The 20,948-nt window shown below is 48.1% G+C and overlaps 1 protein-coding gene across 56 annotated transcripts in view, besides 2 other annotated features; it reads left to right on the top strand.

The window, feature by feature from the left end:
• The window catches only part of ZNF185 (zinc finger protein 185 with LIM domain), a 75,415-nt gene extending 58,766 nt beyond the window's left edge, over positions 1-16,649 (top strand). For 44 of the 56 annotated variants that reach the window (XM_017029822.3, XM_047442496.1, XM_017029821.2 and 41 more), the window contains 7 exons: positions 2,867-3,064; positions 7,007-7,117; positions 8,615-8,695; positions 10,335-10,406; positions 12,550-12,652; positions 13,611-13,709; positions 14,442-16,649. In XM_017029822.3, the coding sequence (XP_016885311.1) occupies positions 2,867-3,064; positions 7,007-7,117; positions 8,615-8,695; positions 10,335-10,406; positions 12,550-12,652; positions 13,611-13,709 (664 nt within the window). In that variant the 3' untranslated portion in view covers positions 14,442-16,649. The remainder of the gene's footprint in view (positions 1-2,866; positions 3,065-7,006; positions 7,118-8,614; positions 8,696-10,334; positions 10,407-12,549; positions 12,653-13,610; positions 13,710-14,441) is intronic. The other 12 variants (XM_011531195.2, XM_047442501.1, XM_047442506.1 and 9 more) reach the window with 2 other exon arrangements.
• Positions 2,327-2,376: an enhancer, noted in NCBI's record as "active region_30031". NCBI's record gives its function as "activates an Ori minimal core promoter by ATAC-STARR-seq in GM12878 lymphoblastoid cells {active_cell/tissue: GM12878}" and the evidence as "EXISTENCE:reporter gene assay evidence [ECO:0000049][PMID:35858748]".
• Positions 2,387-2,516: an enhancer, noted in NCBI's record as "active region_30032". NCBI's record gives its function as "activates an Ori minimal core promoter by ATAC-STARR-seq in GM12878 lymphoblastoid cells {active_cell/tissue: GM12878}" and the evidence as "EXISTENCE:reporter gene assay evidence [ECO:0000049][PMID:35858748]".

Below are 20,948 nucleotides of genomic sequence, written 5' to 3' on the forward strand. Positions count from 1 at the left end.
CGATGTCAAACCCAATTCTTAAATAAAACCTTATAGACAAATGTATTCAATCTTAATCAGTTTGAACATAAGGTAAGAATTTTATAAACCTTTTATAACCCTTTACAATTTTTGTTGAAGAGCAGATTAGTGCTCTAAGAAAACCTGTTGTGCTTTTATGTCCATGTTCAATTTATGGAAAAACCTAATAATACCCTTTTAAATTTAGTATTATCATACATAAAATTTTTTACAAGGTTAATTTTTTTTTTTTTTTTGAGACGGAGTCTTGTTCTGTCGCCTAGGCTGACAGTGGCATGATCTCGGCTCACTGCAACCTCTGTCTCCCCAGTTCAAGCAGTTCTCCTGCCTCAGCCTCTGGAGCAGCTGGGACTACAGGCGTGTGCCACCATGTCTGGCTATTTTTTTTTTTTTGTATGTTAGTAGAGAGGGGGTTTCATCATGTTGGCCAGGCTGGTCTCGAACTCCCAGGTGCTCAAAGGAAAATTTAAGACAGTCCATGGAGGAGAAAGGTATAGACAAGGTCATGCAGATATTAAACCAGAAAGGACTTATTTCCTAAGCCAGGAATCGAACCCAGACTGCCACTGTGAAAGGGCAAAACCTTAACTACTGAGCCCAGAAGGAGTCTAGAGTAGTTAATTTTGAGCTTGCAAAGGCTTTTAACTAGTCAAGATAATTTTTAGAACTAACTATGATATGAACCCTAAAATTCCTGTTCCCTGGAAGGTAGAGACAAGGAGAAAGTACTGCCACATGGTTACAAGGTCAAGCTCCCAAGGACATAAAACAGGATGGCGACCTTGTCCAGTTTTTTGTTGGTTTCAGGGACCTGCAGCAAAGTTTGTCACTGACCAGCTTGCTGGGCCATCTTGAGCAGCAAGCTTATGGGGGCCCAAGCCCATGTTTTATCCTAAGGTACCCCTCGACACAGAAAAACGACTTTATAGCACAAAATATACCAGATTGACTACAGCTTAAGACTAGACAGCCTCAGAATTCCTTTTTGCATTAATTAAAATTTTACAGAGGAGATAAACAGTGATTTTACAATCAGTTTGCACAGAGAGAGAGAAGCCTGAAATCTGACTGGGAAGAGATATTTACCCTTTTGCTGGCATGCCAGGCTTCTGGGCTCCCTTTCCCTGAGTGGCCCTGGTGATCTGGCTCTCTGCACCATTGCCCCGGGAGCCAAGCCACAACACAAAAGAATTTTTTTTTAAAATGCACTTCAGTGTGTTGTTGTTCATTTGGAATGTTCCACTGTAAGTTATCTTTCGTAAGATGTCACCATTTCTGTAAGAATTTGCTGCCTCCCGGGCGTAATGTGTAACCCAGAAGGAACTCAGTTTTCCAGAAGCAATTAATAGGTTCCATGGAATGTTGATGGTAAGAAAGGAAGGAAAAGGTGACAAGAGTGAGCGTAGACAGCTCTTTCTAAGGAGTTTGGCTGCTGGAAGGGGAAGAGAAGCAGCTGGGGTTAGGTGGGAGGAACTAAGTTTAGAGACGCTAAAAGTGTATGTAGCAGGAGTCACCTGATCAGGTTGAACTGCAGCAGGAACAAGGAAGTTCCATTTTGACTACTATTAGTTGCAAATTGGACCCTTATGTCAACTTTTTCATCTGTAAAAAAAAAGGGATGGCCAGGCACGGTGGCTCACGCCTGTAATCCCAGCAGTTTGAGAGGCCGAGGCGGGCGGATTGCCTGAGTTCAGGAGTTCACAACCAGCCTGGCCAACAAGGTGAAGCCCCGTCTCTACTAAAATACAAAGAATTAGCCACGCGTGGCAGCGGGCGCCTGTAGTCCCAGAATCTCTGGAACCCGGGAGGCGGAGGTTGCAGTGAGTCGAGATCACACCACTGCACTCCAGCCTGGGCGACAGACCGAAACTCCGTCTCAAAAAAAAAAAAAGGGGGGCAGGGGATGAAAATGCTATTGCTTTCCAGGAATAGCTATGACTACTTCCAATAAAGAAGACAAGAAGGTTCCACATGTGAAAACTACGCGGTCACAACGATAAGTGGGCGGGTGCACGCACGCGCGCTGAGATCGTGCGTGCACAGGCCGGGGTGCGGCCGGCGTGAGTACGCCTGCGCGTGCCGCCATTTCCTGCAGCCGCAGACTCTGCCTGCGGTGCTCGCCGGGAAATGAGACGATCAACAAAGAAAATGGTTGTTTTGGGCGAGATCGACCGTGGAGAGGCTTTTTCTGCAGCAGTCCCGGTTCCTGCCGCCAGATGGCGCTCGAGGATCACAAATGGGTCTAGGGTTCTCATAATGGCCCCGCCTAAGAAATTTTGGATTCTCCTGGCCCTTCCCCCCTTTGTGGGGTCAACAGCGGATTTGGGAATCTGGTGACCAACACGTGCGCACTCCCCTACCCTTGCCCCTACCGAGCCCTCCAGGGTAGCTTGGGGGAGAAGCTCCTCCCTAGACTGCCGGGTATTTGATGAGCCTGGCCAGCGCACAGGTCTTGAGCACCATGGTCAGGGAAGAAGGCTGAATGGCTTAGGTCTTCCTAGAGAGGCCGGAGGCGGGAAAGAACTGGAGAAAGGAGAGATGGCAGTGGGAGGATGGGGACAAGAATACCAGTGTGTTTCCAGCCAGAAGACGATGTCTTTTAACACCTCATTGAAGTCGTCAGGTGACTTTGCCCTTGTCAGAAAGGAGCAGCACTGCGGGGGTCCTACTGAGGAGGAGACTGACTGCTCCTTGGGGTGGGGATTGTGCCTCCTTCCTGTCTGCCCCACTCTTGGGGAGATGAGTCCCTCCAAGTCCACGAGACATGACAGCCAGCCTACCTGCCATGGGAGAACAAAGTCTAGTCTCAGGGCACTCACTTCATAAGGGTCTTATTCTTCCTCAGCGTGTTGACTGATTTTGAGGGGAAGGATGTGGCCACCAAGGTCGGAGAGGCCTGGCAGGACAGGCCTGGAGCCCCAAGAGGTGGCCAAGGAGACCCAGCTGTACCCACTCAGCAACCTGCAGATCCCAGTACCCCAGAACAGCAGAACAGCCCCAGCGGATCTGAGCAATTCGTCAGACGAGAGAGCTGCACCAGCAGGTACGAGCCAAACTGCACTGGGACCTTACCTGCTAGAGCCAGTGTTTTTGTCCAGGGCAGCAACCCAGGACAAACCCCCACACACTAGGCATGCCTGTTTATCCTCTGCAGGTGAGTGTGGTTAGGAGCCAGAGGGAAGGAGAGAAACCAGCATCTCAGGGGTAGATATTCATGGGTTTCAGCTTGGAGCCATAGCATCAAATCTGTTAGACTAAGTCTGGCACAGAAAGGATGCACAGAGAACCAGGTTGTCTGGCAGCCAGTTCGAACCTGGAAACCTGGGTCAGGGGAGGGATATAGGTTGCTTTTTCTGTTAATGGAGATGGAAACTCTCTGAGCAAGGTGTGCCATGGTGTGGATGTGATTCACTGCCAGAAATAACAACTGTACCAGTTGGATGAGCTCTTCCACTGCCATCAGCACTGGGATGGCCATGGATTTGGACAGTAATGTAGCTCCACAGTGCTGACTCAGGGTTGCTCATTGATTGCAAGAAGTTGGCAGCAGTAGCCTGAGGAAACAGGGGCTCTGAATTTTCTGAGAGAGACCAAGAACCAAGGAACAGCCAGGTACTAGGGAACAGACAACACCAGATGCTTGTGCTTTTCTGTGAGCAGCTCAGGTCTCCCAAAGTGGTAGTTTCCTGGCTTCTGGCCTTTGTAGATCAGTGTGGATCCACACCCAATTGTGATGTTTGTGGTAGCTGTAAGAACTTTCCCAATTTTGAAATCCTAGGTGACTTGTAGCATATTTTTTCACATTTGAAAATAATTGAGTTTTGAAAATGTTTTTACAGGCAATCTAGTATCAGATTTTATATCATCCTGAAACATTCTGTCAATTGTCATTTCCAAAAATCCATGGAAAACTGGAGTTGTTGAACTGGAAACAGTGTGGTCTCAGGAAGTGCTTCACAGCCATTGCAACATGGGCAGGGCCTAGAGGGCAGGAGAGAATGCCATGATTTGATGACATTTTACCCATTCCTGCCAGGTGAACTTCATCTCCCTCTCTGTGACAGAATTTTCTGGCTCTCACATCCAGCTTTGGTCACTGGGAACCCACCTATTGGCTCTTGCACTGGCAGGACATGTGGTAGAGGCTTCCAGTTCGAGGCAGGACTGGCTGCATTTTCAAGATGTCCTTATTTCTGGTATTTTGTGGCGATCGTCCTGTCCACTTAACTGATTTTGACCCATTGCCTTGCTGTGATCTCTGTGCTCTCTCTGTCTCCCAGTTCCAGGTCATTCCCTTGACCAGCTTCCAGTCTTTCCTCATCTTGTCCCTGCCAATGAAGTATTCTGGCTCTGCCTTCACTCTCCTGCCATGATCCATTGCTTTGATAGGGTGGCTTCAGGAACAGGGTGAGGAGAGGGCTGTGCTAGCTTTATCTTGCCAAGGAACTCAGCAAAGAAAATTTTTGCTGACCTCTTGCATTCCTCAGCCTGGCTCTGGTCTCTCAAACCTAACACATGGGATGCATGCCAGCAGCCAGCCTCAGTTTCCCTCTGGTCCTTTTCTGTGTGAGGCCAGAGGTCCTTGCTTTATCACTGCCTGGAGCTGCAGTTGATGATGGTGAAAGAAGGTGCACGTGTCTTTTGAGAGCTCCCTTTGTTCCCCAGAGATTTTTTTTTCCCAAAGTGGCCATGAGTTTGGGAATAACCAGGAGCCATGGGCCGCCGGCTAGAGATGCTGCATACTAAGAGCCTCCTGTGAGCAGCCATGTACACAGTGAACACGATGGCTAAGGCCCCATCCAGCCGCCCTCAAAGAGCACATAGTCCACTAAGGAATAAGCATGATCGTAATAACCATTAGCACCTGCTGTGTGCTGAGAATGTGCAGGCACTGTTCTGCATGCCTTATGTGGACTCACTCATTTAATTCTCACACCAACTCAAGGAGGTGCTTTTATTATGGAGAAACTGAGGCAGATGGAGGTTAAGTAATTTGCTGGCAGTTTTGCAGCCAGGAAGTGGCCTAACCGAGATTAGAATCCAGACAGAGATCAGAGCCTGTACTGTTCATCGCTGTGGCATCCATACTGCCCCTCCATTTGTGATAAGCCCAGGAAGGAAAGAAACCAGGTGCTCTGATGGAGAGGGGTTAGAGCAAGGATGGTTAGGGAAAGCTTTTCTATCGAGGAGGAGACAGTTCGGCTGAGACCTGAAACATCTGGAGGAGCCTGCCTTCCAAAGAACCTGGGGAGAGGCATTGTGGACAAAGAAGATAGGGAGGAGGGCCTGAACAATGAGCCCTGTGCTTGGAGGGTACGGGGTGAGGTGAGCAGGGGGCAGGAGCTGGGCCCTGTAGGGTCTTGTAGGTGAGGGAGAGGAGGCTATTGGGAGGGCTCCTATTGCTCACATTGCAGTCCTGGGGGGATGCCCAGGGCATTTTTTCTTTTTTTTAAGAGGCGGTGTTTCACTGTGTTACCCAGGTTGTTTTTGAATTCCTGGCCTCAAGTGATCTTCCTGCCTCAGCTTCCCAAGTAGCTCCAGGGAATTTCTGTTTTACCTTGCCTCTTCAGTTGCGCCGTCCCCTTCAGTATTCTGCTGACATGGATCACAGGATACCAGACACCTGGTAGTTGTTCAGTCAGTAGGAGGTCTTCCTTCCTTCCTCTTAGAATCAATCCTTTTCTCACTTGTTGGCTCTGCATTTTATCCCCCGTGTATCTTTTCAGATTTTTGTGGGGCCTCCTCTCCCATCCAGTCCACCTTCTCCAGTCTCTATGGTATATTTCTTTGTCATAGGGTGAAGCAGGAACAGGTACAGGATGATTGGGTACACTGAGGTGAGGTAGGAGGGCAGGCCCTCAGGAAGGGCTTCCCAGAGGAGGTGATATTGTCTGCAAAGGCATATGAGAGCCTGGAAGTCCAGGGGAACTGCAGGCTGGTCTGTACGGCTTGAGTGGCACGTGATACAGTTTGAGACTATGAGGCGAGAGAGCTAGGCAGATGCTAGACCATGATTGTTCTTCCCTTTCCCCACTCTTCAACTAGTTGTAATCTTAGGCATTGGATTCTCTGGCAAGGGGACAATACCCAGTAGCCTGGGCCAGATGGAGGCAGCCATATCTGGAGTATGATCTGAGCCACAGCATGTTGGAGAAAAGCCAGAATCAGCCCAGGGCAGTGTGCACCCATAGTGCTGGCCTCAGGCCTTTGGAGGGTGAGCAGACTTAAGTTGGAAGGTGCAAACAAGTGGTCAGTGGTGCTGCCCAACATCGTGCCCTGAACTGCAGTTGACAGCTACGGCAGCTTTGGTAATGAGGCTCATAGCCTGGGGGCAGGCAGAGTGAGAGCCGATATTGGCTTGGCCAGAGAAAAGCCCTTTTGGGCTGCCGAGGAGGTTGGATTCCAGGCCAAGGGCCATATCTGGCAGCTGAAGTGTGGAGGTTCAGAAAAACTTCGACACCGGTCAGTTTCCCGCCTCTGCTGGGAATGAGGTGCATCTGACTTTCCTCCTCAATGATGCCTAATTTCATTTGGTCCTCTGCCCCTTGGCCTTGTGTTCTCTAGAGAGTTCCCTGCAGGGTGGCAGAAGGAGCTGATCCTAGTAAGGGACCGTCCCATCCAGTGAGGAGGTGAGCTGGGCTGTGTCTTCCCCTTCTGCACCCTCCTGACTGTCACATCCCCGGGAGCCCCATGATTCCACTCTAACTGAGTGAATCACAGAGGCCAAGGCCCTTGGCTGCAGTCAGGAGTACTGAGTGGACACTGGAAGATTGGGGTCTTGCTACTGACTCACGATGTGACCTGGGACATGTCTCAACTCACCTAGCCTGGGTTTGCTTATCTGTAAAGTGAGAAGTTCCATTTGTTGGTCTTGGAGGAAGCTTCAAGAGCAGTGCTCAAGGGTTAGGCTCAGAAAAGCCTGTTTGACCCTGGAAGGTGTCAGCTCCCAGGTTGACGTGCCCACCCCTCCCTTTATTTCTTTCAGGGTGAGGAGCCCCTCGAGCTGCATGGTCACTGTTACTGTCACTGCCACATCTGAGCAGCCTCACATTTATATTCCAGCCCCCGCAAGTGAATTGGACTCCAGCTCTACCACGTAAGAAGGGCTATCTAGCAACCTGGGAGATGTTCCTCCGCCACTTCCTCCTTGGCGGTAAAGGACTTGGCTTTTGTTCCATGTTGCTTCCCATTTAGTGCCTTCCCCAGTTTCTAGCAGGCCATTAGCCAAGGGGCCACACAGGACAGTGTTAGTCCCCTAATATAAACTCCCATCTACCGGGCCTAGACATTCCCACACCTCCTTTTTCCTATCTCTGTAAGAGGCTGCAGTGGTACTTCCTAGTGCACTAGTGGATGTGGCTCTGCCATTCATGGGTCCATGCCTGGGAAGCCAGCTCCAGTCCGTGAAGGCCGGGCCTGTGAGGGCATTCCTGTGTTACTGTAAAGGAATACCTGAGGCTGGGACATTTATAAAGGAAAGAGGTTTAATTGGCTCACAGTTTGGCAGGCTGCACAAGCATGGCACCAGCAGCTGCTTGGCTTCTGGCAAAGGCCTCGGGAAGCTTATAATCATGGTGGAAGCCGAAGTGGGAGCAGGACCATCACATGGCACGAGCAGGAACAAGAGTGAGGAAGGGGAGGGCCCGGACTTTGAAACAACCAGATCTTGTGTGAACTAACTGAATGAGAACTCACTTTTCACTAAGGGGATGGTGCTAGCTGTTCATGAGGGATCCCCCCATGATCCCGTCACCTCCCTCCAAGCCCCACCTCCAACACTGGGAATCACATTTCAACATGAGGTTTGTCTGTCTCTGTCACATGCCCACTGCTTCACCTGCATTCCTGGCCACCTGTCAGGGTGCAGGAAGGGATGTCACTGCAGGAAGGCTGCTCAGTGAGGTGTGTGTGTTGGGGGCGGGAGGGGGGCATATCCAAGGGGGCCTCTGCAGACATCAGGTCAGCAGGCTGGAGTGTGCAGCATGGAAATGGGGGAAAATTTGGGGCCATCCTGAGCCCAGCATGATGCAGACCTTGTTTCCAGTCCTGCAGAGGCCAGTCCAGGATGAGGCAACCTCTAGGCCTCTGGACTCTAGGAGTGAGAATGGAGAGGTTAGATGTGAGGTGGAGATTGCACAGTAGCTGAGTACCTTCTGGGAAGTGCTGAGTGGTAAAGACTGACAGTGTAGGATTAAGGCTTGGAGGATATCTTGGTTGTGGGTAGAGGGGAAAGACGACGCAGCCCTAAAGTAGGGGTGGAAAGCCCACAGGACTGAAGTGTAGAAGTATAGAAGCCTGGGGAGAAGATGGGGTCACCGAGGTCTGCATGGAGGAGGACAGCACATTGTCATTGGTTGCAGGAAGCCCCTTTCTGGGGCCCTCAGTCCAAACACAACAAGAGACGCTCATGGCCTGGGATTGTAGTCTGAGTCCACAGCAGTGCCAGTGCCTTTATCCTGGGCCTTCCCATGAGCTCTTTCACTTCCTTCAAACCAGGCTGGGTCTCCCCAGCCCTGAACCACTCCTGTGGGCCAGGCCTGGTTCCCTGGAATCTTCTGGTGTACCTCTGATTTCTTCTGTGCTCCTTCTACAGCAAAGGGATTCTCTTCGTGAAGGAGTACGTGAATGCTAGTGAAGTGTCTTCTGGGAAGCCAGTATCTGCACGCTATAGCAAGTAAGAGCGGGTCCCAAACCCTTCCATGTCGGCCTTCTCCTGCCGGCTCCCATATTCTCATCCCTGCATTTCCAGTTCCTTGTCCAGGACTTGGCTCAGAGTAGCTTCGGGGTAATTGTCGAGTGGATGAGTGATGTAGTTGCCCTCTGATGGGATTGATGCATTTTCTACTGAACTGGGCACCTTTGGGTTCTCCCTTCCGGTGAATTCATCCTGCACACCATTTTCACTGCCATTCTGTTCTGCTTGTCTTTGTTATTTTATTTTGTAAAATGCTGAGAACACCCCTCTTGACAGAGCTGGCAGAGCCCTAGGGACCAACTAGCTCATCCTATTTCTTTTCAGATCACAGAGCTCTTCTCTTCTGCCCTCATGTTCTTTTCTGTCATGCCAGGCTGCCTCATTTGAACACACATGTGACTGCAGTTCCTGATACATGTGTGGCTTTGCTTTTTAATTTTAATTAATTAGTTAATTAATTTTAATTAATTTTTTTTTGAGATGGAGTCTTGCTCTGTTGCCCAGGCTGGAGTGCAGTGGCGCCATCTCAGCTCACCACAACCTCTGCCTCCTGGGTTCAGGCAATTCTCCTGCCTTAGCCTCCCTAGTAGCTGGGATTACAGGCGCCCACCACCATGCCCAGCTAGTTTTTGTATTTTAGTAGAGATGAAGTTTCACCATGTTGGCCAGGCTGGTCTCGAATTCCTGACCTCAAGCAATCCACCTGCCTCGGCCTCCCCTTTTCATTGATCATCTCTTCATTTTCTTGCTTTGTGATGCCATGTGGAGGGGTACTTCCATGTCACCTCGGTGTATTGCTACCTACCACACTGAGGTGAGGTCCCTTAGAATGTTTCTTATGACATGTCATCTCACTGGAGGATTTTAGCAACAGAGAGGAGCATCCTGGCCTTATTTCAGGATTGGGCCTCTGGGGCTTCTGGACTGGCTTTTATTGGTGCTGTGGAATGATGAGCATGGCTGTGGGGGTCAAGTTCAAGCCCCAGCTCAGGCCCCCCTGTTAGGATCACTTCGGACAAGATGTTCAACCTCTCTGAGCTTTGCTTTCACATCTGTAGGCCCTTAGGGTGGTTTTTCTCAACAGCTTATTGAGTTATAATTCACCCTTTAAAGTGTACAGTCCCGAGGTTTTGGTACATTCACAGAGTTATGCAAACATCATTATCCAATTCTGGAACACCTTTGTCTCCCCAAAAAGAAACTCCAAACCCGTCTGCACCCCCTAATTCTACCCCATAACTCAAGCACAGGTATTATACCAGAATGATCCCTTCTTTCTTCTCATTCCCAGTATCTGATTTCTGCTGAGTGGGCTCCTGGTGACTGTCACATTATATCATAGGTGGGGAGGAAAGCTCTGCTGTTTTCCCACTGGTCAGTGGGGTCCCCTTGGCATATACAACCTCAGGAATCCTAGCCACCCAGCCCCGATCATCTCCCTCATTGTGAAAGGTCTCCTTTGCCCCCCCATAGAAGGGCCCTGTGGCACCAAGTCATGAATGACGACTGGCATCGTAGTTATGTCTCAGCTTGTGGCCAAAGGTTAATTAGAAAATTAACTATGATAGTGATTTGGCTCTCATCTCTGCCCTCCTCTCCCCTATCAAACTCCCTGCAGCGTCAGCAGCATTGAGGACTCATTCGCCATGGAGAAGAAGCCTCCATGTGGCAGCACTCCATACTCTGAGAGGTATGTTGACTTTCTTAGCACGGAGCTTGCACTTCTACAGAGGAGAATCAGGGAAGGGAGAGTTCCTGCTGAGTCTGTTTGCTTTTGTCTTCTGCTTTGCAGCCTCCAATCCATTTGCAGAAAGGTGAAGGACACTACCGTAGGGTGGTGCTTCCCTTGTTGGGATATCACACTTGTGACAACTAAAGCCTTTGAATTGAGCTAAGACTAGAGGGTAGATACCAGCGGTGACTGAGAAGGGAAGTGGTGGCATCTGACAACCCAGAGGACTCGTGTCAGCAGGAGGGGCCCTTCAGATTAGAACCTAATCAATCACTTCATTAACTTGCAAATCTAACCAGAAGTAAAAATAAAATGACTACAAAAGAGAGGAGTGGGCAGAGAAGGAAGAAAAATGGGCTGCTGGCATCAAGAAGCCAGAAAGACACACAAAGCCAAGAATGCCCAGTGCTGTGGAGCCACCAAATTGAAAGCAGGGGCAGAGAACACCTCGTTCAGCAGTTTTGAAAGCTGTCACTAGATGATGGCACAGTCACTAGAGAGTCTTAATGACAAAGAAATCTTATGTTCAGATTCTTGGAATGGGGAGAAGAGAGTCTCAGAGATTGAGTTCACTCAGGCTTCTGTGAAGAAAATGGAATAAATAGCCTTCAGTCCACAGTAAGCAAATACGGCAGACCCAGGACTAAACCCCAGGGCCCTGACTACTCCCAGGTTAGGGATGTTTCTACTCTGCCATCTTGCTTCTCATTGATGGGCAGATCTTAATTCATGTGGATGACATTCAGAGACCAAAGCTACATTGGGGAGGAAAAGGAAGGAAGTAAGAGGGTTAAGATAAAGAGAATCCTACCGGGCCCCAGAGGCAAACATATAGGAGCAGACAAGCATATGGGGCCAGGGAATCTCCTCCACTATAGCTGAAGAAGCAGGTGGTTCTGAGTAACTACAGATTACTTGGTGAGGCACATCAGCAGATGAAGTCTTAGCAGAGAAGGGCAGGTTGGTCAGAAACCTGAGAGTTAACCACTTACATAGGAGCAAATGGAATGAGGCTTCCAATTCTAGTGGAGTGACAAACCAGATACTCTAGGGACCCCCCTTTCCATTGCACAACTACTAAATCCAGAATCAGTCATTACTGATCCATTGCTAGGCTTGGAGGAAGGAAGGGGACTCTCTAGGGACAATCTCAGTCACTTGCACACATGCATATGCACAGACACACATGCACGCACACAAAGAACAGCTGTGAGCTGGTGCTGCTGGTGGTGAAAGAAGCAGGAGGAGCAGGGCTGCGCTGAGGGCAAGGATTTCAAGCAGCACTGCTGTCCAGAGTGAACCCTGGGCCAGCAGCAGGATGGTGGGCCACACCCAAGCTGCCCGTGACACTTCTGGGTCCTCCGACAGAGCTAACGTGGATCTAGATTGTTAATGTCCCCCCGCCCCTTGGGCTTCTGTCAGAAGCAGACCCAAATCTCTGGAAGAAAGTACCCTGAATTTTGGCTTGTAGGATCAGATCAAGCAGTTACTTTGAGGAAGTGCAGTCTGAGGAAGAAAAGCAGAGGTGACTCTCAGAAACAGGCATCCTGGAACTGGAAAGATGCTCAACCCAGGAGTCAGTATCTAGAACTTCAGTGTCGGATCTGAGTAGGCTCTACAGACAGAGCATGAAGGGTGGGTCCAGGAGTATAGGCAGGGGCAGAGCTCAGTTGGCCCAGGCGTGAGGAGAAGGGCCATCAAGACGGGGCCAGGCAGGGCACACAATGACATGTCTCCTGTAGGAGAAGGCATTGGTCTTCCTGCTCTAGAGGGTAGCAGGCCCCAGCGGATAATCTAAGCAGAAGGTCAGGGGGAGGCAAACTGTCTGGAATAAGTATCATATCAGGACATCTACAGGAGACATGTCATTGTGAGCTGGAAAAAGATGCATGACTAGTTTTTGGAAATAATGCAGAGGTCTACAGCAGGCTGAGAACTGATCTGGCCCAGGGCTGTGCTGCACACCACAGAAAACAGTGGCATCCTGGGGATCCTGACAGCAAACCTGGGCCTGGCTGCACCAAATTGGAAGGTCTGGCTGTGTCACATCAGAGGTCTGTACACCAGCCTGACCACCGGGTTATTGTTCTTCATCTCACAGGACAACTGGAGGGATCTGTACTTACTGCAACCGTGAGATCCGAGACTGTCCAAAGATTACCCTAGAACATCTTGGTATCTGCTGCCATGAATATTGCTTTAAGGTAAAAAAGAGGTGGAAGACACCTTGAGCTAGGCGGTAACTCCTGATCACGTGCTGCTAAGAACGTTTTGTAGAGTGCGGGAGTCTTACGGGTTCAGAGACTGTGGAGGAGGCTTGATCTCCATATACAATTGCACATAGTCGCAGAGGCTTTGCACAACTGGGAGCTGAATGAGCTTCCAAGTCTAAGACAGTAGATGAGTGTTGGTGGTTCTGCATGCTTAGTACTGTAGGGAAGACAAAAGAGGTCTTTTCAGGAAAGACTATTTCTGGCAGAGGGCCAGCAAGTGCAAAAGCCCTGGGGCAGAAGCACTAGAGTGTTCTAGCTTGCGTGGGAGAATGCCAGGAGTGACAGAGTGGGCTAGATCATGTAGGCCTTGGCGGGCACAGAGTTTGGATTTTATTCTAAGTGACATTGGGGTCCCCATTCTCCACAGTGTGTGGCACTTTGTAACCCCAGGTTGTTGGTTCCAATCCATTTAGGGTGTCACCTCTGGGTGCACTGAGAAAAACAACCCTCCCCTTTGCCTTGACAGAATGTTAGGCAGGCTTCTGTCCTCCCCACAGGGCCTGAACTTTGCTTGCTCCTGGTTAAGTAAGTGCTGCAATGCAGAACATGCCCCACTTAGCAGCTTCTCCTGAGAACCGGCTGACCACAGGGAAACACATTTCTGGTCAAATCATGCCAAACAGGTTCCCCTTTGCTTGCCCACTGGCCCTTGAAAGTAGCTGAGCTGCTAGCTGTGCTTACTACTCCCTACTGAAAAAAAAGGCTTTTTTTTGTATTATTTTGTGATGTTTTTTGTATTATTTTGTGATGTTTGCAAGTCCTGAGGTCCAGGATGTGCCACGGGCTCACAGCATCTGCTCGCCCACCTTGTTCAGGCATCCCCTTCCCACTCCACTCATTCCTCTTGCTTTGCTTTGTGTGTTGACCTCCAGCTTGCTTTTCTTTTCAGTGTGGGATTTGCAGTAAACCGATGGGCGATCTCCTGGATCAGATCTTCATTCACCGTGACACCATTCACTGTGGGAAATGCTATGAGAAGCTCTTCTAGGTGGGTGCTGGCACTGCAAAGGACAAGTGGCCAAGAGACTCATTAAGGAGTAGAGATGCACCCTGGTCTCTCCTGGAGTCTCAGCCCCAGACACAGCTATCTTTCTTGGCTCTTCCTTATGTTCAGGGGGCCTTGTGTCCTCATGTCCCTATGCCTTGTGATACTTTGAGATCTTAGGTGGCATGGACAAAGGCCCTCAATGAGGACACTTCCAAATCACACCTTCCGTCCAGCACCTGAGCCGAGCCCTCTAGCTACCCTGGGATACTCGCTCGGCCGCTGTTGTTAGCCCCATTTTGCAACAAGGAAATAAAGATATAGAAAGGGAGGGGACCTGGAGAAACCCAGGTAGAATCAGGACCTCACCCCAGGTCTTTGGATTCTTGTCCAGGGCTCTCTGTTCACTGTCACTCGCATAGCTTCAGATCAGGACTGCATAGCCATGGTGCTCAGTGAAACAAGCCTCTGGGCCACATTATGAGAACTGCCTGAAGATGTGTGTTTGCATGCTCATAGCCAGTGGAATTTATCACGGTGTCTGAGCACAGAGCAGAATATATCCCTTGAAGGCAGTAGCAACCAGGCTTTCCACTAGCTCCATGCTGATGGTCTTCTCTCCAGAAGACACACCTTGAGCTAGGTGGTAACTCCTGATGACTGGAGCAGTCACCCACCCTGAGGGCCTCTAGCTGATGTGTTTCCAGTCTCATGGCTACTTCTGTTTTCTTTTAGCGACCCCCCACCGCCAGGCTGATCAGAAGCTGATGACTCGTGGACAAATTTGGCTGTCCCCAGTTTTGCCCCAAGTTGCTGTCTCCCCTTCCCTCACCTCCTCCCTCCCTGTTTGATTTCTTCATGCTTTTGCCCTTCTCAAGTTGAAGTTGCATACATCCAATATCGTATCTTAATGATGCTATGATAATTGCTTGTGTGTGTAGCTTCTTGTAGCTTAGAAAGCGCTTTATGCCCATGATGTCATTTCAGGCTCAACCAAAGAGGATCAAACAGGAATTCCATCTTGGCTTCCCTAAGACAGATTGGCTTTCTAATGAGTTTAAGTGGGCAGAAGTGTAGGGTTCAGTGTGTCCTGACTCCCTTGAGGCTTATAATGGGCCAAGTTGAAGACTGTTGATGATCCCTGGTGGGTAAATTGCAGACATCAAATGCTAGGGATTGGCATAGGCTAGTGTTTAGCTTGTCTATTTGCCATATCTATTTTTTTTAAATTTCCATACACTTGTAAAAGTAGTTAGTTGCTTTTGATTGAGTTATATAGCAGTTTTTCATTTGGTCTTCCACTCACCTTTCACTATATTTGAGTGTTCCCTTACAGGTATGTTGGCATGTGTTGGAAAATTTACACAATTAGGTTTAAATTCAGTAGGATGTGATTTTAGGATGCTACTGATCAAAGTGATATCTGTGTCTGTTGGAATCTTGATAGCTGATTAATTTGCCCTCAATTCTGCTCCCTGAACTTCACACATAAATCTTCCCAAGTGGGTTTTAGGGTGTATAGATCCCAGCAGGATTAAGGAGGTGGAAAAGCAGCTAACATTTCTTGAGGCTCTACCACATAGCAGGCACTGTCACAGAGTAATGGCATTAATCCCCATAATAATCCTGTGAAGGTGATATTCTCATCCCATCTTAGACATGAGGATATTGGAACTCAGAGAGGTGGCTATTGCATTGCGCAGAACGCTACAGAGCCCATGCTCTTCCCAGAGCAGCACCCACAAAAGCAAGCATTGATTTTGTGCTCAGTGTGTGCCAAGCACTGTGCAGAGGGTACACAGTTCCTGCCAGGTTAACACCCTCCCTTCAGGCCTCCCAAAGGCATAGGCTTGCAAAGAGCAGAAGGTGTGAAATCACACTCTTCCTCTGGGCATCCTGGATCCCTGAATTATCCCCCCCCCCATGAAGTACTTCAAGGGCCAAGCTGCCCCTTTCCCTCCTCTCCGCCCATGAAAATGCCTCCAAACTGAGATGCTTTCAGCTGAGAACAGATTTGACTCACAGACATTACCAAAGAGGAGCTTGTGAATCCAGGAAAAGCTCCAGGGGGCTAGCTGATCTGAGCAGAGAGCTTTCAGTGACCCATTTTCCTGTCTAGACTCTGCCTTAAGCTAGTGGCAACTGCTGGGGCCCCAGGTACTTGGGACATGGAAACTCGTTGGATGGCTGGGCAGATGTAAGCCTGTCCATGCAGTCAGCCGATCCTCTGCTCAGGTTCAGCTGGACTCTGCCATCTGTGGGCCCAGCATCACTCTGTAAGTTCCTTGAAAGGAAGAACAACCTTAGAGTATTTCTGATACAAAATGAGGGCCTCTGCTCTTGATTTAATTATAAAATGTCTACGTCTTTCTCCAGTTTCTGAGCCCTATGCACATTGGCTTGTGGGCTTGTTCTTCCTGCCAAATGATCAGAGAGGAACATTCCATTTATTTGTAGTGGATTTCCTCTGGAGGGCATGTACCCACACTAAATACCAACTGCTCTTCCTCAGCTGTAGTCCCCAACATCAGACTTGGCACGTGGTGGACACTAACACACAGGCACTCAATGAATGAGTGAAGGAAATAAAAGTCACCCCGTTGGTGAGAGGTGCTATCCCTGAGTCTCAGTGCAGGACCAGTGGATGAAAGGCAAGGTAAAGAGGCCCAAGATAGGCTGGCTTCCCCCGTTCAAGGTATAGTCTGCCTTTAAGGGAGTTTTAGAACCAACATGCAAGACATTGAAAGAAATCTTGCAAGAGCCATTATTGACTTAGATCCAAAACAGCCTCTCTCATGTCTAAAAAGGCACAGAATTTTGCAGATCTGAGGAAGAGGGATGCATTACCTTTTTGCTTCTTTTCAATTGCTTAGTGTTTCTAATCATACTTAATCCACACTAATGTGCGCAATTATAATAAATGGTAAGATATCACATGTGTCAGTGTTAAAGTTTTCTTTTGAAGTGTAATAACTTGGTGTATTCAGCTGTGTGATTTCTTTATTCCTATTGCCTGAAGCCATTCTCTGTACAAAAGTAAACAAGTACTTAATAGCAAGCTCTAGACACTGGGCATGCACAGGAACTGTGGAATTCTAGACACATCAAATCTTAATGAAGAATATTGTATTGTGGCGGCAGAGAGCGGGGGCGGTCCATCCTTCTCATGATTACCACTGCAGACAGACAGCCACCTAGTCATTAGTGCCCACTTCCAGTGACCAGGAGCTCAGTTCCTTACAAGCCCCTGCTGTCTGTGGTTTTAGAAGATGCATTCTTCAGTTGAGTTAAAGTCCATTTCTGTATGTCACCCACTGGTGGTCTTTAATCCCTCCGCTAGATGCCAGCTCTTAAAATAGATGAAAATACTTCTCAGATTCTGTCTTGGTCAACTCTTCTCACATTTAAACACCCCTGGTCCCTCTAACTCTTCCTTGACAGTAATTCTGAATACACATCTCTCAAAGGCCCTCCTCAAAGGTGACCCCAACACATACTCCAACTCATTCCTCTAGATGTGTACCAGTGTAATCTGCATGCGATCCAAGTCTTGATTCAACCCAGGGACAGGAAAGGGTGATCAGGAAGTCCAAAGATAGACATAATACTCCGAGAACTCCTTCTGCCACTGAGTAGGGGCCTCAGGGCCATTGGACTAGTGTCCCTCTAGCTATTTTCTCACCCCAACTTTGGCCTTCATCTTGTTACAATGGGAAGGAAGGAAGAGCTTTTACTAATTCAAATGACAAGGACTGCAACAGTAGCTCCTAACTAGGTATTTGTAGGACTTTTAATTGGTGACAGTGTGACACAAAGACCTAAAGGAAAAATAGGGGAGGGTCATTCTGAAACAGCAAGTCGATCCTATTGTTGGGCCTCCTCCATTACCATGACTCCTCCTTTCTATCCCAGGTTTGTATCTGTGACGGTCTCCTACCCATGCATCTCTATGTCCTCTGGGGACTGCTCCTTGCTTAGGATTGTGTTTGGCCTGTGGATTTTCCTCCCCAGAATGTATTCCTCTTGTGAAACTTCTCTGTACAGTATCCTCTGCCTGTGAAGGTCCCAAACCTGCTTCTGAATGCCTTCTTCCCACTGTCCTCTGCCTCCTAATGCCTTCTGCTCCTGGCTCCTTGCACAGTGCCTTCTACCTGCAGATGCCTTCTGCTCTCTGATCTCTGCTGCTGAGTTTGTTCATCACCTAGGGCCCAGCCAATGAGGCCTATCTGCACAAGGGCTTCTGCCTGTAATTGCCCTTGCCATAGTGTGCTTTGCTTAGTTAGTCTTACTTAAGGTCTGTTGATTTTCTTGTTTGTAAAGAACCACATCATTGACTTTTTTAAAAAAAAATCATTTTATTGATTTTTTTCTATTATTTTCTGCTCTCTGTTTCATTAATGTCACCTTTAATCTTTGTCATTTCTTCCCTTCTACTTGCTTTGGATTTACTTTGCTCTTCTTTTTCTAGTTCCTTTAAGTTGTAAAGTTAGGTTATTGATTGGAGATCCTTCTTTCTTTTTTTTTTTTTTTTTTTTTTTTGAGACAGGGTGTTACCCTGTTCCCAGGCTGGTGTGCAGTGGCACAGTCATGGCTCACTGTAGCCTTGACCTCCTGGGCACAGGCAATCCTGCCACTTAAACCTCCTGAGTAGCTGGGACTACAGGCACGTGCCACCATGCCTGGCTAATTTTTTCCTTTGAATTTTTTTGTAGAGGTGGGGTTTGGCCATGTTGCCCAGGCTGGTCTAGAACTCCTGGGCTCAATGAGTCTTCCCACCTTGACCTCCCAAAGTGCTAGGATTACAAGTGTGAGCCACCATGCCCGGCCAATATCTTTCTTCTTGAATGTATGCATGTACAGCTGGAAATTGTTCTGTGAGCACTTCTCTAGCTGCATGTTGTGTTTTCCTTTTCATTCATCTCAAAGGTTTTCTAATTCCCCTTATCACTTCTTATTTGATCCACTGGTTATTTTGGAGTTTGTTGTTTAATGTGGGTTCCCCAAATTTCCTTCAGTTATCAGTTTCTAATTTCATTCCATTATGGTAGGTTAACACACTTTGCATAACTTCAACATTTTAAAATTTGTGCAGGCTTGTTTTATAGCCCTGTGCTTTGCTGTGAATGTGTTCTTCATGGGGTTCTCCCTGCACAGCTGCGGTCACTGCCTGTGACCACTGTCCACTCTGCCCTCTGCCTTCACAGCCTCTCTGAATAATGCACCCTGCTTGAGAACTGCCTCTCCCTCTCTCTGAAAGTCTGCTGCACATTGCTCTTCATTTCTGAGGCCCACTGTACACTGTGCTCCGCATTGTGCTAGCTGTCCAGTTGTGAGCTTGCTGCAACGTGGCATGCATAATGCTTGGCTGCCAGATCACCTCCTTATCATGTCCTCTGCCTGTAGTGCCCTTGGCAGATCCCCCTGCTTCAGTATCTCCTCCCACAAATGTCTTCTGCCCATCGATGCCTTCTTTTGATCAGCACCTTGATGTTCCAGTTGGTCACTTAATCACTCAACAAGCATTGATTGGATGTCTACCCATGTGCCAGACGTGGGGGCCCCAGTAAAGTAGACACAGTTTGTATTTCTGTGGAGCTCACAGTGTAAGAGGAGAGGAGTAAATCAAACATCCCACAACAAAATACTGTTGTGATAAGTGCTCTGAACAAAACATACAGGGTATGTTTTGGAGACAGGGTCAAGGCCCTCACTGCAGCCTTGACCTATATGCTATAATATAGTGACCTACTCTGGGCTGCTTGGTTATCGGGGGAACCCGCCCCCAATATTTCAACGTAAGTTCTTTCTGTTTTCCATAAATGTCAGCCAGCTGAGAAATAGAAAGAGTACAAAGAGAGGAATTTTATAGCTGGGCCTCCGGGGGTGACATCACATATTGGTAGGACTGTGATGCCCACCTGAGCCACAAAACTAGTAAGTTTTTACTAAGGATTTCAAAAGGGGAGGGGGTGTACAAATGGGGAGTAGGTCACATGCTTTAAGGGGCAAAAAGCAGAACAAAGATCACATGCTTCTGAGGAAACAGAGCAAGGACAAAATCAGAACTCCTGATAGGGGTCTATGTTCAGCTGTGCATGTATTGTCTTGATAAACATCTTAACAGAAAACAGGGTTCAAGAGCAGAGAACCAGTCTGACCTCAAATTTACCAGGGCTGGGGGTTTCCCAATCCTAGTAAGCCTGAGGGTACTGCAGGAGACCAGGGCGTATTTCTATCCTTATCTCAACCTCATAAGACAGACACTCCCAGAGCGGCCGTTTATAGACCTCCCCCCCCAGGAATGCATTCCTTTCCCAGGGTCTTAATTATTAATATTCCTTGCTAGGAAGAGAATTTAGTGATATCTTCCCTACTTGCACACGTCTGTTTATAGGCTCTCTGCAAGAAGAAAAATATGGCTCTATTCTGCCCGACCCCACAGGCAGTCAGACCTTATGGTTGTCTTCCCTTGTTCCCTAAAAATCGCTGTTACTCTGTTCTTTTTCAAGGTGCACTGATTTCATATTGTTCAAACACACATGTTTTACAATCAGTTTGTACAGTTAACACAATAGTGGTTCTGAGTGGACCTGATGTATATTCTCAGCTTACGAAGATAACAGGATTAAGAGATTAAAGTAAAGACCGGCATAAGAAATTATAAAAGCATTAATTTTGGGAGCTGATAAATGTCCATACTAAAATGAAATCTTCACAATTTATGTTCCTCTGCTGTGGCTCCAGCCAGTCCCTCCGTTCAGGGTCTCTGACTTCCCGCAACATCTCTCCCTTTCTTTTTGAACATAACAGGATTAAGAGATTAAAGACAGGCATAAGAAATTATGAAAGTACTAATTTTGGGAACTGATAAATGTCCATGTTAAAATGAAATCTTCACAATTTGTGTTCCTCTGCCACGGCTCCAGCTGGTCTCTCCGTTCGGGGTCCCTGACTTCCCACAACACTTAGTCAGGGAAGCTTTTTTACATTTTTGTTTTTAGAGACAGATTTTTACTCTGTCACCCAGGCTGGAGAGCAGTGGCATGGTCGTAGCTCACTGCAACCTCAAACTCCTGGGCTCAAGCAGTTATCCAGGCTCAGCCACCTGAGTTGCTGAGACTACAGATGCACATACCACCACATCTAACAGAGAAGCTTTTCACAAGGACATGATATTTGGCTTTAGTATGAGTTTGCTATACAAAAGGAGGCTATCTTCCAGGCCCTCTTTAATGTTCCCCT

The sequence above is a fragment of the Homo sapiens genome, chromosome X (genome assembly GCF_000001405.40).
Source record: "Homo sapiens chromosome X, GRCh38.p14 Primary Assembly".
In the NCBI taxonomy this organism is placed as follows: domain Eukaryota; kingdom Metazoa; phylum Chordata; class Mammalia; order Primates; family Hominidae; genus Homo; species Homo sapiens.